Consider the following 20,022-nt stretch of genomic DNA (forward strand, 5'->3'; position numbering starts at 1 on the left):
TGAAAATGGACTTGGCTAAAAATAGGTCATTTAACCCTTGGCTGACTGGCATCTCTCTAGATTTTCAGTTATACAATGTTCAATCTGCTGTGCAAGGTAATTCCATCTTGCAAAGGATTTGATGTTACATTCTACCACACATACAACTGAATTAAACTTTTACGGAATTGGAAATGCAAATAATTGATCAAAATAAATCAAACAAGAAAAGAATAGGAAGGAATAACCAGTGATGGAATATCAAATATGAATGGAAAACAGAATAGGACTGATAAAAAGAAAAAAAGCTTCAGAAGCACATAATAGCCGTGTTATTTAGAATCATAGTGGTGTGCAAATGACTTCTATCACATCTCATTCAATACCAGAGCAAAAGATGTTAAGTTTATTATGTAATGCCCACCAAATAGCTAGCTTTTGAAAAAAACTTGTTTCTCAATTTGAGCTAACCATTTCAGGCTACTGCATCAAACCAAAGTTATTGGCATCATGCTAAGCTAGATGTGTTGACTGAAGTATGAGATTCACACTTTTGTAAATGAAAAGCAATTTGATTAGGCAATGTTTTCCTAAGTGAAAGCAAGTTATTAGAGAAGTAAAGAAACAAAAGAATGGCTACTCCATATAGCGGAGTTTTTGTTTTTTTTTTTAAGTGTAGGCAAATGTTTAGTGAAGATGATATTTCAATAAGAAAATTGGTGCTTGGGACGTGCTTCCACTAAATTTGAGATATCTTAGACAAAACAAAGTCTTATTTTCAAGACATTATTTTTATCAGACTGAAGTCTTGGAACTATTTGATCTAGTTACTCTATGTTCTCAACTGTGTTAACTAATTGAAAACAACATTGTTATTAAAGGTATTCACAAGAAAAATTCAGAGTTACTGTTGCATATCCTTTCTCTGTTTCAAACTGTTTTCTCCTAAGCACCCAAGGCTCTGTGATGTCTGAAACAGTTAATCATTAATTTTAAAAGATAAGCTTATCGTGGAATTAGAAAAAAAAACTATTTTAAAATTCATATGGATCCAATAAGAGCTCATATAGCAAAGAGAATACTAAGCAAAAAGAACAAAGCTGGAGGCAGCACACTACCCCACTTAAAAGTATACTGTGAGGCTACAGTAAACAAAACAGCATGATACTGGTACAAAAACAGGCACATAGACCAATGGAACAGAATAGAGAATTCACAAAAAAAGTCCGCACATCTACAACCATTTGATCTTCAACAAACCTGACAAAAACAAGCAACGGGGAAAGGATTCCCTATTTAATAAATGGTGATGGGAGAACTGGCTAGCCATATGCAGAAAATTGAAACTAGACCCCTTCCTTACACCTTACACAAAAATTAACTCAAGATAGATTAAAGACTTAAATGTAAAACACAAAATTATAAAAACCCTGAAAGAAAATCTAGGCAATACCATTCAGGACACAGGCATGGGCAAAGATTTTATGATGAAATCGCCAAGAGCATCTGCCACAAAAGCAAAAATTGGCATATGGGATCTAATTAAACAAAAGAGCATCTGCACAGAAAAAGAAACTATCAGAGTGAACAGACACCCTACAGAATGGGAGAAAATTTTTGCAATCTATCTATCTTACAAAGGTCTAATATTCAGAATCTATAAAGAACTTAAGCAAATTTACATGAAAAAAACTTCATTAAAAAGTGAACAAAGGACATGAAGAGACATTTCACAAAATAAGATGTACATGTGGCCAAAAAAACATGAAAAAAAGCTCAACATCACTGATTACAGAAATGCAAATCAAAACCACAAATGAGATACCATCTAATGCCAGTCAGAATGGCAATTATTTAAAACTACATAAACACCAGATGCTGGCGAGGTTGTGGAGAAATAGGAAGGCTTTTACACTGTTGCTGGAAATGTAAATTGGTTGAACCATTGTGGAAGACAGTTTGGTGATTCCTCAAAGATTTAGAACCAGAAATACCATTTGACCCAGCAATCCCATTACAGGGTATACATCCAAAGGAAAATAAATCACTCTATTATAAAGATACATGCATGTGTATGCTTATTGCAGCACTATCCACAATAGCAAAGACATGGAATCAGCCCAAATGCCCATCAATGATGTACTGCATTAAGAAAATATGGTACATATACACCATGGAATATTATGCAGCCACAAAAAGGAATGAGATTCAGTCTTTTGCAGGGATATGGATGAAGCTGGAAGCCATCCTCAGCAAACTAACACAGGAACAGAAAGCCAAACACCACATGTTCTCACTTATAATTGGGAGATGAGCAATGAGAACACATGGACACAAGGAGAGGAACATCACACACTGGTGCCTGCTGGGGGAGGGCAGTGGTGGGAGGAGTATTAGGAAAAAATAGCTAATGCATGCCAGGGTTAATACATAGGTGATGGTTTGATAGGTGCAGCAAACCACCATGGCACACATTTACCTATGTAACAAACCTGCGCATCCTGCACACATAACCTGGAACTTAAAATTAAATTAAATTAAAAGACAAGCTAAAAGGGTTAACGAAAAATAATTAGATAAAAAAATTTTGATTTTCAAAATCCTGAAACAAGAGTTTTAAATTTGCTTTTAATATATATTCAAATCCTTTAATACTGTTCCCTTCCAGAGATGCTGCTTAATTTCCTCTCTTGAGTGTGGCTGGGACTTAATGATGCATTTCTGATATGGTCTGGCTCTGAGTTCCCACCAAATTCTCATCTTGAATTGTCATGCAAATTGTAATCCCTATGTATCGGGGGAGGGACCTCCTGGGAGGTGATTGGATCACGGGTATGGTACCCCCATGCTGCTCTTATGATGCTGAGGGAATTCTCATGAGATCTGATGGTTTTATGAGGTATTTTTCCCCACTTCGATCTGCAATTCTCTCTCCTGCCACCATGTGAAGAAGGACGTGTTTGCCTCCACTTCTGCCATGATTGTAAGTTTCATGGGGCAGCCTTCTCAGCAATGCAGAACTATGAGTCAATTAAACCTCTTTCCTTTATAAATTACCCAGTCTCAGGTATTTCTTTATAGCAATGTGAGAACGGACTAATACAACTTCTAACTGGTAATGCTGACATAAGAGTTTGTGACTCTGGGTGTAGAACATAAAACTCACTGCAGCCTCCCCCTTCTCTCTCAATGTCTCTGGAATCATGAGCTCTGGGGGAAGCCACCTGCTGTGCCATAAGCAGCCCTGAAGGAAGGTCCATGTGGCTGAGAACTGGGGCCTTCTGGGAACAGAAAACAAGGAACTAGGGCTTTTCCAACAGCCATGTGACCCATCCATGTTTCATGTGAATCCTCAGTCCCAGTGAAGCACTCAGATGATGCAGGCCTAGGCTGACAACTGGACTGCAACCTTGTGAGAGGCCCTGAGCAAGAAGCACTCAGGGAAACCTCTCCTGGATTCCTGACCATTGGAACCTGCGGGAGATGATGAATATTTGCCATTTTGAGCTGCTAAGTTTTACATAATTTGTTATGCAATAGTAAATAACTAACACATTTTCACAAAAGAGGATGTAGTATTACACATTAATTTGCATTTGCTCTAAATTTATCATTATTATTAATATTATTGTTATTGAGACAGGGTCTCGCTCTGTCGCCCAGGCTGGAGTGCAGTGGCATGATCACCATGCACTGCAGTGTCGACTTCCTGGGCTCAAGGGACCCTCTTATCTCAGCGTCCTGAGTAACTGGGACTACAGGCATGAAGCACCACGCCTGGCTAATTTTCTAAATTTTTTTGTAGAGATGGGGGTTTCTCCATGTTGCCCAGGCTGATCTTCAACATCTGGAGTCAACAAATCTGCCTTCCTCTGCCTTCCACGGTGCTAGAATCACAGGTGTGAGCCACCACACCTGGCCTAAATTAATTATAAGACATTACACATGTAACTTAGTTTTAAAAGGTAAGGAGAATGTCCATGGCTGAAGAGGATGCATTTTATTACCATTCACAATGATCACTTTACTTGAACTTCAATTTCCAACTGTGTCCAAATTAAACACAAAAGGAAGATCCAACCCTTGCTGGGCTGATTCTTTGATGGCCCCCAACAGCCACCTCCCGGTCATTCACTTTCCCCCAGTTATTCAAGCAACTCTAGTGTAGATGCTGCTGTGAAGGGATTTAGCAGATATAACTAAGGGCCTCAATTAGTTGACTTTAGGCTGGGTTTATCCTGCTTTGACTGTCCTAATAAGGTGAGTCCTTGAAAGGTCTGTGTTCTTTCTGAGCATAGAGATTTGCAGTGTGAGAGGGATTCAGCATGAGGGGTTTCCTCTACCGTGGGCTTTGAAAATGAAGAGGCTGTGTAGGAAAGAACACTGTTAGGCACCAGGAATTGAGCACAACCCTGCCTATTCTCTGTATTGACAGCCAGCAAGGAACAGAAACCTCAGTCTTACAACTGCCAGAAACTGCATTCTGCCACCTCTGTATAAGCCTGAAGGAGGATTCAAAATGAAAACACAGCTTTTGGAAGCCCAGAACAGGGATTCTATCCACATCTTGCCCAGATTTCTGACCAAGGAAGTATAAGCAGATAAATGGGTGTTGTTTTGCCAGTCGTGGTAGTGCACGAATGAATTGATGAATTGATATGCACACTAATTACATAAAATAAAATATTTCTTAACTTTTTCAGTATTTTACATTTTATAATTTTCTGTGATGCAATTTAATAGACTCATATTTCATTCATTCAGTCAAGAAAAATTAATTTAATCCCTACAATGAACCAGGTGTGCCCTCATATGCTTACGTGCCTGACATTCCAGAAGCTTCACAAGACCAAGGTGGAGCCAGTGGAATGTTTTAGGTGGAGAAATGACACACTCTGACTCACAGGAGCAGGACCACTGTGCAGAGAACAGTCACGTAGCAGGTAATGGGACAGTGCTAGTGTCACAAATAAGGAGTGACAAGGTGGTGGGGACTAAGGGGAGAGGAGGGCCTGAGGCATGAGAGGAATGGAGGGAAGGGCTGGAGATGCAGGAGGTGAGGAAATGGAGCAGAGGGAAAGAATTCGAAAGCAGCAGAACTCAGGTTTAAACACATTGTTTTATATATTTTAATACATCAATCTACAGAGCCTTGCAGGGTGATCTTTGCAGTTGGCCTTTAATACCTTATGTGGGTCTGCCTAAAAACTAATTTTTTTATGTTAATCAGGTTTAAAAAATACTAAGTGTTCATATAAAATATACACAACACTTAGAAGTGGATACTTCCTAAAAACAGGCAGTGCATGAGCACTGGTGAGGGGCATTGTGACTGCATTGAGTGCTTGCCACTGTGAGATGAATAAAGTCCGTACTGGCTCCTGGTTACAACATATAGTAACACAGTGGCTACCTTGTATTAGGAGATGTCCTGGACTCACACAGAAACTCAGGGCTATGGAATGAAGGTAAATTTAAAATACTACAAGCGGGAGTCACAGATACATTGTCTGGGAAAGTGAAACTTAGGAGCTTTGTGATTCCTGTTGTAATGCTTTTAGACACATTTATATGTCAAGGGACCAAAGTCACATTTTTGGCCGATTAGATTCCTGATCATTAGGAGTTACCAAGATTCTGCTACCCACTGTAGTTAATAAACAAAAAGCAAACTGGTCTCTATTCTATCTCATGCACTCAGGCACAACTTTTCCAGATTTAAAAAACAAACAAACAACAACAACAAAAAACCCTGTCTCTACACCTCCATTCCCAGGGCAAGCTCACTCTCTGGCAACAAGCTCCCTGGGGTGATTTTTCTTCTAGAAGAGTCCACGGGGACAGGTAAGGAGTAGGAGGCAGGGAGTCCAGTTCTGGGACGGGGATTCCGTGATGCAAAGTGAAGAGAGAGGGACGGGGCCCATTCCGAGGGTTTCTCCCTGGTTTCTCAGACAGCTCCTGGGCCAAGACTCAGGGAAACATTGAGACAGAGCGCTTGGCACAGAAGTAGCGGGGTCAGGGCGAAGTCCCAGGGCCTCAGGCGTGGCTCTCAGGATCTCAGGCCCCAAAGGCGGTGTATGGATTGGGGAGGCCCAGCGCTGGGCATTCCCCATCTTTGCAGGGTTTCTCTTCTCCCTCTCCCAACCTGTGTCGGGTCCTTCTTCCTGGGTACTCACCGGGCTGCCCCAGTTCTCACTCCCATTGAGTGTCGGGTTTCTAGAGAAGCCAATCAATGTAGCCGCGGTCCCGGTTCTAAAGTTCCCACGCACCCACCGGGACTCCGATTCTTCCCAGTCGCCGAGGATGGTGTCATGGCGCCCCGAACCCTGCTTCTGCTGCTCTCGGGGGCCCTGGTCCTGACCCAGACCTGGGCAGGTGAGTGCGGGGTCGGGAGGGAAACGGCGTCTGTGGGGAGTAGCTAGGGGCCTGCCCGGCGGGGGCGCAGGAACCCGGTTGCGGTGCCGGGAGGAGGGTCGGGAGGGTCTCAGCCCCCTCCTTGCTCCCAGGCTTCCACTCCTTGAGGTATTTCCACACCACCATGTCCCGGCCCGGCCGCGCGGATCCCCGCTTCCTCTCCGTGGGCGACGTGGACGACACGCAGTGCGTGCGGCTCGACAGCGACGCCACGAGTCCCAGGATGGAGCCGCGGGCGCCGTGGATGGAGCAGGAGGGGCCGGAATATTGGGAAGAGGAGACAGGGACCGCCAAGGCCAAAGCACAGTTTTACCGAGTGAACCTGCGGACCCTGAGCGGCTACTACAACCAGAGTGAGGCCTGTGAGTGACACCGGCCGGGGGCGCAGGTCACTACCCCTCCACATCCCCCACGGACCGCCCGGGTCTCCCCGAGTCTCTGGGTCCGAGATCCACGCCGAGGCAGCGGGACCTGGAGACCCTTGACCCGGGAGAGGCCCAGGAGCCGTTACCCGGTTTCATTTTCAGCCAAAATCCCCGCAGGTTGGTCCTGGCGAGGGCGGGGCTCGGTGGGCGGGGCTGGCCGCGGGGGCGGGGCCAGGGTCTCACACCCATCTAGAGGATGTCTGTCTGCGACGTGGGGTCGGACGGGCGCCTACTCCGCGGGTATCACCAGCTTGCTTACGATGGCAAGGATTACATCGTCCTGAACGAGGACCTGTGCTCCTTGACAGCCGCAGACACGGCGGCTCAGATCACCCAGCTCAAGTGGGAGGCGGCCCGGGGGGCGGAGGTTCATCCTCACAGGGATAGGCACCTATTAGATGTGGTGTGGTTTTCCTCTCTACTCTTAGACCCTCAGCCAGTATCACTATTGGCATTCCTGAGCCACTGGCTCAGAATTTCAGTACATTATCTGCCCGCGGGACACACCTCAGAGGAAAGGGGATGAAGCGTGGTCCATGACCATGGCACCCCCTGGTCTTATCACCACCTGCACCTCCCAGGGGCTGCCAGCCACACAGAGTCATGGACAGGTCTCTACAGACACAACTTAGTGCCAGCTTGGATGAAACCCTCTGAGGAATGGGTGCCATCTTTCAGGATGTGGTGCATGTATTGAATCAAAGATGTCTCTATAGTGCTGTGTTTACAGAAGGAAGAATACGTGGGTCCAAAAACCAAGAAGTAGAAGCAGGTGTGGCTCCATATCTAAACCCTTATATTCACCTTCAGGGTGATTTTGCACTTCTCATCTCCAATATCTGGGCTCTGTAGGGGAGGAGGTCCTGGTTTCCCAAAGGGGGCACCCTGGCAAGGAGACATTTAAATGAGAGTCCATGGAAATATACATTATGGCTGCCCCCAGGGATGTTTGAATAGTATGTGTCCAGATACAAGCAGGTGAGAAGAGGAGGAGGCAGGGCTGCTATCACACAAGGAGGGCAGGAGATGTGTGTGTGGAAATAAGAGATCCACTTGGAGACCTTATGGTTCCCCTTGTCCTGTTGTAAGTGTGAGCAGAATCATCCAGCAACCCAGCCTGAGAGGGTTTCATATTCAAGAGCCCAGAACCCTCAGGAAGGAAGGATTGAGTGATACTCACAGGTAATGTCCCAAGGCTGTGCTCCTGTGCTCTGACATCCTCAGCAGGATTGGTGCAAAGCCCTGCTTCCCATGGGCTGTTCCCAGCCAGTGACTGGTCACAGCAGGCATTAAGGCAAGCCATTCCTGGGAGACACGGGACTCCTCTGATGGCTAACTGTAGCTGGAAGACTCCTCCACGGCCTTGCTCAACTCTCCTTAGATTGCCTGTGCTCTAGGATGCGTCAAACAAACTTTCTCTCCTTCTGTCCAGCACTTGGGGTCACACTTGCATCGTGGTCTGCCGCCTTTTCTCAGGGATTTCTGGCTCACTTCCCATATTCCCTTACGGGTGTGTCCCCTTATAAGATGTCGCAGACTTTAAGCTCATCTTGGCATCTGCTCCTTGAAGGACTTGGACTAAAAATTATTTCCATCTGCATATCAATAACTCTTATTCCAACCTGTAAAATCCTTCTCTTTATCCAACTTCTGCCACCCCCACAGAATCTATTTTACTTGTGTGTGTAGTATCTCTTTGAGTTAACAGATATTTGTTCTATTAAGCTACTAAATTTTGAGGTAGTTTGTGACACAGCACTTGATAACTATTAAGGCTTTCTTAAGTTTCCATTATTCCATGGATATTATCTACATATCTTTTAATCCCTTGCATTTTAATAACATTAGCTATACTTGCTGTTTCCAACTCTTTCCTCCTATTTTTGAACATTTTAAATTTTGTCTTTCTCTGTCCTTCCTTCCTTCTTTCCTCCTTTCCTCCCTCAGAGCTTTCTCCCTCCCTCCATTTTTTTCATAAACTCCAAGTGTTTAGGCCAAAAGGAAGCATTATTTGAACTTTATGCTAAAAGTATAATGCCGTAATTTATAATATAAAAGTAAAGAAAAGGAAGTTGTTAATGGAATATGAAAAAATGCCTAGGGTGATTCTATAGCCAAGACAGTACCTTTTAACATTTAATTTCTGCCTCCAACTGAATGTTTTCAGAACACATGAGCAACACAAGCTCTTTCCCATTCTTGGTACAAGCACTTGAGAAATCAAATTAGCCTTATCTAGTATGATTAATGTCCATACATCATATAATCCCACCATCTGCCTCCTGATCATACCCCCTGGGGACATTCTTGGCTATGTGTCCAGGAGACATGTACACCAATGTTTATGGCAAAAACTGGAAACAATCACATATACATCAATGGGAATTAACAAAATAGTCGTATAATAATAAAAAGTAAAACTTCAGCAGCAACAGTGAATGAACAGCACCCTCCCACATCAGAGATAACTCTCCTACACATAACATGCATCAGCATCACAGAAGAATGCACATTGTGTGAGTTCTCTGTACGGGGAAGTTAAAAAAAGCAGGTCAAACTGTGATTTGGATATATATATATATACTTATTGTAAAAATCTTTAGAGACAATGAAAAGGAATAGTAAATACAAGACTCAAGATAGAAGTTCCTTTTGGGGAATAGAATTGGACAACAGCCGAGGGTGGCTTCATAGGTTTTGTTTTTTATGCCAGGAGGGGATGTCCAGGTAGTTAAGTTACTTGATCATAAATCTTTCTTTCTTTCTTTCCTTCCTTCCTTCCTTCCTTCCTTCCTTCCTTCCTTCCTTCCTTCCTTCTTTCCTTCTTTTCTTTCTTTCTTTCTTTCTCTTTCTTTCTTTCTTTCTTTCTTTCTTTCTTTCTTTCTTTCTTTCTTTCTTTCTTTCTTTCTTTCTTTCTTTCTTTCTTTCTTTCTTTCTTTCTTTCTTTCTTTCTTTCTTTCTTTCTTTCTTTCTTTCTTTCTTTCTTTTCGAGATGGAGTCTCCCTCTTGTTGCCCAGGCTGGAGTGCAGTGGCATGATCTCAGTTCACTGCAACCTCCGCCTCCCAGGTTCAAGCAATTCTCCTACCTCAGCCTCCTGAGTAGCTGGAATTATAGGCATCCACCACGACACCCAGGTAATTTTTGTATTTTTAGTAGAGACGGGGTTTCACCATATTGTCCAGGTTGGTCTCAAACTCCTGACCTCAGGTGATCCGCCAACTTCGGCCTTCCAAAGTGCTGGGATTACAGACATGAGCCACCATTCCCGGCCCACAAATCTTTAAAGTGTCATTTTTCAAAATGCACCTTGTGTGCCATTCCTGACTGATTATTTGGAAATGAAAGAGAAAAGAAAATACCAAAGTTCATCTCAAGGATCCTTAGCAATAACTACACACGTTAAAACAAAGCCACAGCCAATTGTAAAGAGTCATGTGACAGAGAGGACCAGGATCTCATGAAAAATAGCCTTGGCTAGAAAGAGGTCATTTGACCCTGGGCTAATTGGCAACTCTCTACATTGTCTGGCATACAGTGTTCAATCTGATGTGCAAGGCAATTGTATCTTGCAAAGAATTTGAGAATTTGATATGTTGCTCACATTTTACCACACATACAAGTGGATTAAACTTTTACACAGTAAAAAAAAAAAGCATTGTTGAGCAAAATAAATTAAATGAAAAGACATAAAGGAATAACTAGTGATGAAATAGCAATAAGAATGGAAAACATGAAAGAGATGCTTGTACAGCAATGATAGCAGCACAAAAGAACAGTGTTTTTCAGAATCATACAGGAGTCCAAATCACTTCTACCACATCTAATTAAAAAACACAGTGAAAGATGTTAAACTTTCATAGGATGCCCACTGAATAGCCAGTTATTGAAAAATCTTGTTCCTAGATTGGAGTAAACAATTTCTGCCTACCCTAGCCAAACAAATTATTGTCATGATGCTAAGCTAGTGTATAGACAGAGGTGTGAGATTCACATTTTTCTAACTGCAAAGCACCCTGATTAGGCAAATATTTTTGTAGATGCTTGAGTAAGAAAATTGGCATTTTGGGCATTCTTAAACCGAATTAGAAACTTCTGAAGAGAAACAAACGTAGTTATGATTGTAAAGGCATTATTGTATGGCACCAAAGTCTTGGGACACTTTAATTTAGCTACTGTATTTTCTCAACTCTGTTGCAACTTATCAAAGAGAATATTAATATTAAAGGCATTTACAAAAAAAATCTGAGATATTGTTGTATCTTCTTTCTCTGTCTCAAATATTTAATCAACTTTACAGAAGAGAATTTTAAAGTATTAAAAAAAGTCAGATACAAGAAGTATTTGATTTACAAAACCCTGAAACAATAATGTTAATTTTGCTTTTAACATGTTTATAAATTCTTTGATACTCCTCCTTTCCAGAAGTGCAGCTTCATTCCCTCCCTGTTCGTGTGGCCTGGACTTAATGACTCACTTCTAACTGATAGAGTAATGCTGACATAATAGTTTGTGATTCTGGGTGTAGAACATAAGACTCACTGAAGTTTCTACTTTGGTTCTTTCTTTCTCTGGAATCATGAGCCCTGGGGGAAGCTGGCTGTTGTGTCATAAGGAGGCCTGTGGTCCATGTGACTAGGAAGTGAGTCCTCCTGGGACCAGACAATAAGAAGCTAAAGCCTCTTCCAAAAGCCATGTGAGAGATTCTTGTGTCTTGTGAATCCCCGGCCCCATTTGAGCCCTCAGATGATTCAGCCCTGGAAGACAACTAGACTGCAACGTTGTGAGAGGCCCTGAGCCAGAAGCATTCAGAGAAACTTCTCCTGGATTCCTGACCATGGATAACTGTGGGAGATGATAAATATTTGTTGATTTGAGCTGCTAAGTTGTAGGTGACTTGTTATGCAGCAGTAGATAACTAATACAGCTTCACAAGAGAGGATGAATCACTGAACTTTTTCATTTGCTCTAAATTCATTATAAGATATTAAACATGTCATTTGCTTTTAATATTTAATAAAAATTTCCATGGCTATATAAGATATATTTTATTATCATTAACAATGATCTATTTTTTGATCTTCAACTTGTATGTTCTATTTAAACATGAAAGGAAGATCCAGGCTAGCTAGGCTGATTCTATGATGACACCCCAATAACCACCCTTGGTTTCTCAGGTTACCCCAGTTACTCAGTTGACACTAAAGCAGGTGCTGCTGTGAAGAGGTTTTGCAGATATATTTAAAGTCCCCAGTCAGTTGACTTTAAGATGAGGATTATCCTGCTTAGACGGTCCTAATCAGGTAAGCTCTGAAAAGGACTGGGTTCTTCCTGAGAATAGAGACTCACAGTGTGAGAGGGATTCAGCGTGAGGGGCTTCCTCCACTTTGGGCTTTGAAAATGGAGGGATCATGGGGAAAGAACACTGGTGGCCAATAGGAATTAGAAGCCCTCCCCACTGTCTACTCTGATAGCCCGAAGGAAACAGGGACCTTAATCCTACAATTGCCAGAAACCGAATTCTGCCAACAAACTCTACATAAGCTTGGGGGAGAACCCCAATCTTAAGATGAGGATACAGCTTTGCGAAACTCTGAACAAAGAGTCTATCACATTAGGCCTGGATTTCTGATGAAGGAAATGTAGACAAATAAATGGGTGCTGTTTTCAGCCACTAAGTTTGTGGTAATTGGTTATGTACTGCCAGGAAATAAATAAACAGATTCAAAGGATAAGTATATGACATTTTCTCCACCGGAATGAATTCATGAACTGATATGCATAGTAGTTGCATAAAACCAAATATTTCCTAACTTGCTTTGCATTTTCCATTTCATGATTTTTGTGTGATACAATTTTGAACACAATTATATTTCATTCATTCATTCAACAAAAATTAACTTAGTGCCTACTATGTGGCAGATATACTTTTATATTCTGTAGATACAACTTTGATCAAAGCAACCCAAAGCCCCTGTGCTTGTGCCTTCCATTCTAGAGGCTTCTTGAGAGTAAGATGGAGCCATTAGAGGCTTTTAAGTGAAGAAATGACACAATCTGACTCACATTAGCAGGATTGCTGACCTTTGTGGGGAGAACAGTCATGGGCAGCAGGCGAGGGACAGAGCTAGGGACACAATTCAGTAGTGACAGAGTAGTAGAGACTAAGGGGAGAGGAGGGCCTGAAGGATGACAGGGACAGAGAGAAGGGCTGGAGAAGCAGGAGGTGAGGTAAAGGAACAGAGAGAAAGAATTCTAAAGCAATGGAATTCTCAGACTTAAATACAGTGTTTTATAGATTTTTAATGCATTTATCCGCAAAGCCTGGCACAGTGTTACTTGCACCTTGGTCTTTAATGCATTCTGTGGGGCTGTCTAAAAGCTAATTGCCTCTCTAAGATAAAAAGGTTAAAAAAGGCCGGGCGCGGTGGCTCACGCCTGTAATCCCAGCACTTTGGGAGGCCGAGGCGCGTGGATCACAAGGTCAGGAGATCGAGACCATCCTAGCTAACATGGTGAAACCCCGTCTCTAATAAAAAATTACAAAAAAATTAGCCGGGCGTGGTGGCGGTCGCCTGTAGTCCCAGCTACTTGGGAGGCTGAGGCAGGAGAACGGCGTGAACCCGGGAGGCGGTGCTTGCAGTGAGCGAGATTGCACCACTGCACTCCAGCCTGGGCGACAGAGCGAGACTCCGTCTCAAAAAAAAAAAAAAAGGTTAAAAAAGAATACCAAATGTCTCAATAAAATATACACATAGCTTAGATGTGAATAATTCATAATAATAGGCAAGTGCATGGGCCGGCCATTATAGCTCATGCCTGTAATACCAGCATTTTGGGAGGCTGAGGCGGGAGGATTGCTTGAGCCCAGGAGTTCAAGACCAGCCAGAGCAATTTAGGGAGACCTCATCTCTACAAATATTATTTTTAGAAAAATTAGCCAGGAGTGGTGGCACAAGCCTGTGGTGCCAGCTACTTGGGAGGCTGAGGGAGGAGCATTGATCACATGAGCCAAGGAGGTCGAGGCTTCAGTGAGTCATGAGCGTGCCACTGCACTTTAGCCAGGGTAACAGAGTGACGCCCTGTCTGTAAATAAATAAAAAATAAAAAAATTAATAATAAAGGGAGTGCATGAGCACTGGCGAAGGGCACTTTGGCTGCATTAAGCACTTGCAATTCTGAGGTAATTAAATTCTGTACAGGCTCCTGGTTGCAATATACGGTAATACATTGTGCTTTGTATTGAGATGTCCTGGACTCGCACACACAAACTCAGAGCTATGAAATAAAGATACTGTAAAAATACAACAGACCAGAGTCACAGATACACAGTCTGGGAAAGTAAAACTTCACTTTGTGAGTCTAATTGCAATGCGTTTAGACATATTTATATATAATGGGGCCAAAAATCATCTCTTTTACAAATTAGATTCGTGACCATTCAGGGGCTACCAAGATTGTGCTACCCACTGTAGCACAATCGGAGACCCACGCCGAGGCTGCGGGACTCGTGGAGACCCTCGACACAAGAACCCCAGGTGCCTATACCCGATTCCATTTTCAGTTCAGGCCCAAATCCCCGGGGGATTGATCGGGGCAGAGGAGGAGCTCAGTGGCTGAGGCTGACCGCGGGCTTGGGGACAGGGTCTCCCACCTCCAGTGGATACACAGCTGCGACCTGGACCCGGACCGGAGCCTCTTCGCGCGGGGATGAACATACCCTACGATGGCGCCAGTTACCTCGTCCTAAACCAGGAACTGCTCTCTTGGACCGCAGCGGAAAAGGCGGCTCAGATGTTTTGGAGGAGGAACATGCAGAGCTGCTCAAAACCTACCTGCCGGGAAGGTGGGCGGAGTGGCTCAGCAAAGGCCTTAAGAATGAGAAGGAGAGGCTGCAATGCGCAGGTACCAGAGGCCACGGGTCGCCTCCCTGATCTCCTGCAGATATCCCTGAGCCACCTTCCAAAAGAAGGGGAGGAAAATGGGACCAACGCTAAAATATCCCTCTCCCTCTTGTCCTGAGGCAGAAGAGTCCTCCTGGGTTTCTAAATCCTATACCAGAGAGTGACTGAGGGCCCGCCCTGCACTCTGGGACAATTAACGGATGAAGTCTCTGCGGGAAAGGAGGGGAAGACAATCCCTGGAATACTGATACGCGGTACCCTTTGACCCCCCAGCAGCCTTGGGCACCAGGAATTTTCCTCTCAGGCCTTGTTCTCTGCCTCATACTCAATGTGTGTGGGGGTCTGATTCCAGCTCTTCTGAGTCCCTCGGCCTCCACTCAGGTCAGGACCAGAAATCTCTGTTTCCGCCTCAGACACTAGAACTTTCCAAGGAATAAGAGATTATCCCAGGTGCCTGTGTCCAGAATGTTGTCTGGGTTCTGTGCTCCCTTCCCCACCCCAGATGTCCCATCCATTCTCAGGATGGTCACATGGGTGCTGTGTCTCATGAGGAATGCAAAGTGCCTGAATTTTCTACCTCTTGCCCTCAGATCCCCTGAAGGCACAGGTAACCCTCCACCCCATCTCCAACTATGAGGCCACGCTGAGGTGCTGGGCCCTGGGCTTCTACCCTCTGGAGATCACACTGACCCAGGAGCGGGATGGGGAGGACCAAATTCAGGATGCAGAGTTTGTGGAGACCAGACTTGCAGGGTACAGAACCTTCCAGAAGTGGGCAGCTGCAGTGGTGTCTTCTGGAGAGAAGCAGAGGTACACATGCCATGTGCAGCACGAGGGGTTGCCTGAGCCCCTCACACTAAGATGGGGTAAGGAGACGAATGAGGGGTCATGTCTCTTCTCAGGCAAAGCAGAAGTCCTTCTGGAGCCTTTAAGCAGGGTCAGGGCTGAGGCCTGGGGGTCAGGGCCCCTCACGTTCACCTCCTTTCTTAGAGCTGTCTTCCCAGCCCATCATCCCCGTTGTGGGCATCATTGCTGGCCTGGTTCTTCTAGTTGCTGTAATCACTGTAGCTGTAGTCGCTGCTGTGATGTGGAGGAATAAGATCCCAGGTAGGAAAGGGGTGAGCTCTGAGTTTCCTTCTTCCATTGGTGGATTTCAAGCCCCAGGTAGGAGTAGGCTCATATCTTGCCTAGTTGTGAGGCACCATCTCCACACACATTTACCCTGTTCAGAGGCCCTGTCTATCAACGCTTACTCTTTTGTAAAGCACTTGTGAAAATGAAGGACAAATTTATCACCTTGATTGTGGTCATGGGAACCTGACTCCCAGCAGTCACAGGTCAGGGGAAGGTCCCTGCTGAGGACAGACCTCAGGAGGACAATTGGTCCAGCCTCAACACATCCTCTTCCCTTGGGTTTTCTGATCCTGACCTGGGTCTGTAGTCACAGTTCTGGAAACTCCTCTAGGATCTCATGCCCTGCCTCCTCCCTGGCCTCTCACAGTTTGTTTTCTTTCCACAGATGGAAAAGGAGGCAGTTATGCTCAGGCTTCATGTAAGTGTGGTAGGGGTGGGAAGAGTGATCCCTGAGATCCTTGGGATAGTGTAGACAGGAGCCCATGGGGGAGCTCAGCCACCCCAAAATTCCTCCTTTAGTCACATCACCTGTGGGCTCTGACCAGATTTTGTTTTTGTTCCACCCCAAACAGGAACAGTACCCAGGGCTCTGATGTGTCTCTCAAGGCTTGTAAAAGTGACACCTTAGAGGGCCTGAAGTGAAAGAGGAGTTGGGCAGAGGGGACACAACTAAGCTCTGGAGATTCTTTGATTTGGAATTTTTCAAGGTGTGGTGGGCTGTTCAGTGTCACAACTTACTATGACTGACCTGGATTAGTTTATGACTATGTTTTTTCTAAGATTGCCTTGTGAGGGACTGAGATGCAAGATTTGTTCATGCCTCCTCTTTGTGACATTAAGAGCCTCTGGCTTCTCTTTCTGCCAAAGGGTCTGAATGTGTCTATGTCTACAGTAACAGGTAAGAAATGGGAGACCAGCCCATCCTCATGTCCACCATGACCCCTGATATTGTTTGGATCTGTGTCCCCACCCAAATCTCATGTTCAATTGTAATCCCTAATTTTGGAGGTGGTGTCTGGTGGCAGGTGATCGGCTCATGAGGATGGATCCTTCATGAACGGTTTAGAACCATCTCTTTGGTGCTATTCTTGTGATAATTCTCATAAGATCTGGTGTTTAAAAATCTGTGTCACCTCCCTGCTCTCTCTCCCTCCTGCTCCAGGCATGTAAGTAATGTCTGCTTCCCCTTAGCCTTCCAGCATAATCGAAAGTTCCCTGAGGCCCTCTCATAAGATGAGCAGATGCCAGAATCATACTTTCTGTATAGCCTGCAGAACCATGACCCAATTTAAACCTCTTTTCTGTTTTTGTTTTGTTTTTGTTTTTTGAAGGAAAATTTATATTATTTTAATTATTTTTACATACAGAAAACTCAACAGCATACATTTCACCCAATTTAGTGGCATGTTCTTTACCCTTTGCCTTTTTGAGCTTGGCAATGCAAACCACATACTTGAGACCCAGGACACTGTCTCCCCAGTGATGGCGGATCTCATCGTATCTGTCATTGTAATTGGTCCTGAGAACTCCCACCAGCTTAGCCAAAGCACCTTTGTCTTCCGAGTTAACCTGTGTGAAGGTGACAGTGGTGCAGGTCTTCCTATGGACTAGATGTCCCAGTCTTGCCTTCCCTTTGATAATGCAGTAAGGGACCCCATTTTATGACACAGGACAGGCAAGAAGACAACCAGCTTGATGGGATCTACATCATGTGCAATCACCACCAGCTGAGCTTTCTTGTTCTCCACCAAGGTGGCGATGGTGTTAACTCCTGCTCGAAGGACAGGTGGACTCTTAGTGGGGAATGTCCCCTTTGCCAGCAGCTTTCTTCTTGGCCCGGGCCAACAGCCTCTGCTTCTTCTCTTGGTTTGTCTCTGGTCTGTATTGTGGGCCAGCTTAAGCAGCAGAGTAGCTGTTTGGCTGTCTGGTGCCTGGGTGAACTGGTTAATCTCAGGAGGCACTTTCAGCCACTTATAGAGGATGGTTCTCTGCTGCTGCAACCTGATATAGCAGGGCCATTTCACAAAGTGGGTGAGGTCTCTTTTGGGCTGGATATCCTGTCCAGTGCCAAAATTCTTAGGCCTTTTCTCAAACAAGGGATTTACCACTTTCTTGGCCTCCTGCTTCTTCACGACAGCAGGGGCTGGAGCCACCTTCTTCTCCTTGGCCTTCTTTCCTTTTGGCATCTTGGATGGTGGGAGGAGAAAGAAAGAAACCTATTTTCTTTATAAATTACCCAGTCTCAGGTATTTCTTTATAAAAGTGTGAGAATGAACTAATTCAGAAAATCGGTACCAGGAGTTGGGTATTACTATAAAAATTCTTGAAAATGTGGAAACAGCTTTGGAACTGGGTAACAGGCAGAGGTTGGAAGAGTTTGGAGAGTTCAGAAGACAAGAAAATGGGGGAAAATTTGCAACTTCCTAGAGATTTGTTAAGCTGTTGTGACCAAAATGCTGATAGTGATATGGACAATAGAGTCCAGGCTGATAAGGTCTCACATGGAGATGAGGAACTTATTGGGACCTAGAGGAAAGGTCACTTTTGTTATGCATTGGCAAATAACTTGGAGGCATTGTTCCCCCTCCCTAGGGATCTGTAGAACTTTGAACTTGAGAGTGATGTATAAGGGTATCTGGTGGAAGAAATTTCTAAGCAGCATAGCATTCCAGATTTGGCCTGCCTGCTTGTAATAGCCTATGCACATATGTGTGAGCAAAGACATGACCTGAAACTGGAACTGATATTTAAAGGGGAAATTTAATATCCAGGACAATTCCTAGTGGAGCTGCAGGAACAGGACCCCTGCCAAGACTACTAAATCATAGAGCCACTGGCAATATGCAAGCTCAGCCTGGAAAAGCCATAAGCATTCAATGTTCACCCATGAGAGCAGCTATATGGATTATGTTCACCAAAGCCACGGATATGAGGCTGAAGATGGCATTGTGAGTCCATTGCTTGCACCAGCCAGTGTGCTCAGGGTTCAAGATATAGAGTCAAAGGAGATTATTTTAGAGCTTTAAGTTTTAATGTCTGCCATGATGAGTTTCAACCTTGTGAGGACACTGCATTCATTTCTTTTGGTCCACTTATTTCTTTTGGAATGGAAATGTATAGGAAATGTCTCTACCACTGTTGTATTAATATTTTAGAAGTAAATAACTTTTTTTAATTTTACAGGTGCACAGCTATAAGAACTTACCTTGAGTCTCAGATGAGACTTTGGAATTTAGAGTTGATGCTGGATCAACCCAACACATTTTGGACAATTGGGAGAAGATTATTGTCTTTTGCAATGTGAGAAGAATGTGAGCTTTGGCTGGCTAGGGACAGGATGCAATGATATAAATATTTATCCCCAGATACCTCATGTTAAAATCTGATCCCCAATGTTGGACTTAGGGCCTAATGGGTGGCGTTTGGGTCTTGGGGGCCAATCTTTTATGAACAGAGAGATACTGCCCTCTCTCGGGAGTCAATGAATTGTTGCCCTATTAGTTTCCAAAAGAGCTAGTTGTTAAAAGAGTCTCGCACCTTCCTACTCCCTCTGTTCCTCTCTTACCACGTGACTTCTGCACATACCAGCTCCCCTTTGCCTTCTGCCATGAGTGGAAGCAGCCTGAGGCCCTCGCTAAATGCTCAAACATTTCCAGACATCAGAATCCTGAGCCAAATGAACCTTGTTTATATAAATTAGTCAGTCTCAGACATTTCTTTATAGCAACACAAAACGGAATAAGACAACCCTCTCATCATAGGTATGTGTCTGTGGCAGCCAGCCCCCATTCTCAAGGTATCCAGGATCCTCTCAGCCAAGAGTCCTTTCCTCAGTATTCTAAAGACACTCTAATCACTCAAGAGATTCTAAGGTTTTTAGGAGAAACCAGGGACAAAACTAAATGTTTTTGTGATAACTCATATTACCCCCTTTTCTTTGACCACATATTTTTCATACGAAAAGGATTATAACAGTAAAGAAGCATTGGCATATTATCCAAGTCTCATTCGGTCATTCAAAATTAGGCCAGTTTATCATCCTCTTGTATGAATATGTCTCCCAGAATGACATCACTCAGCTTTGCAGACACCATTCAATCTTATCAGGTTCCAAAAACAAGAATGGTCTCAGGGACATACAGCTTCACCCTTTTAGGCATCCAGTATA

At 44.1% G+C, this 20,022-nt stretch overlaps 1 long non-coding RNA gene and 4 pseudogenes across 2 annotated transcripts, besides 2 other annotated features; 2 read left to right on the top strand and 3 right to left on the bottom strand.

Moving 5' to 3' along the window:
• Positions 4,270–5,469: an enhancer, noted in NCBI's record as "P300/CBP strongly-dependent group 1 enhancer chr6:29757998-29759197 (GRCh37/hg19 assembly coordinates)". NCBI's record gives its function as "activates an origin of replication core promoter dependent on BRD2, BRD4, P300/CBP, MED14 and CDK7 cofactors, with strong dependence on P300/CBP, by STARR-seq in HCT116 cells {active_cell/tissue: HCT116}" and the evidence as "EXISTENCE:reporter gene assay evidence [ECO:0000049][PMID:35650434]".
• HCG4 (HLA complex group 4) lies at positions 5,080–7,122 on the bottom strand. The gene has a single exon (NR_002139.2). It is a non-coding gene; the product is annotated as an HLA complex group 4 (long non-coding RNA).
• HLA-V (major histocompatibility complex, class I, V (pseudogene)) lies at positions 5,955–11,856 on the top strand (annotated as a pseudogene). The gene is made up of 3 exons (NR_132323.1): positions 5,955–6,354; positions 6,486–6,755; positions 11,242–11,856. The product of NR_132323.1 is annotated as a major histocompatibility complex, class I, V (pseudogene) (transcript).
• Positions 12,473–14,175, bottom strand: HCG4P9 (HLA complex group 4 pseudogene 9; annotated as a pseudogene).
• On the top strand, positions 14,093–17,128 carry HLA-P (major histocompatibility complex, class I, P (pseudogene); annotated as a pseudogene).
• Positions 14,481–14,980: an enhancer, noted in NCBI's record as "H3K4me1 hESC enhancer chr6:29768209-29768708 (GRCh37/hg19 assembly coordinates)". NCBI's record gives its function as "activates a minimal SCP1, AML or CMV promoter by ChIP-STARR-seq in primed H9 embryonic stem cells {active_cell/tissue: H9 hESC(primed)}" and the evidence as "EXISTENCE:reporter gene assay evidence [ECO:0000049][PMID:30033119]".
• On the bottom strand, positions 17,181–18,066 carry RPL7AP7 (ribosomal protein L7a pseudogene 7; annotated as a pseudogene).

This window comes from Homo sapiens, chromosome 6 (assembly GCF_000001405.40).
Source record: "Homo sapiens chromosome 6, GRCh38.p14 Primary Assembly".
Lineage (NCBI taxonomy): Eukaryota > Metazoa > Chordata > Mammalia > Primates > Hominidae > Homo > Homo sapiens.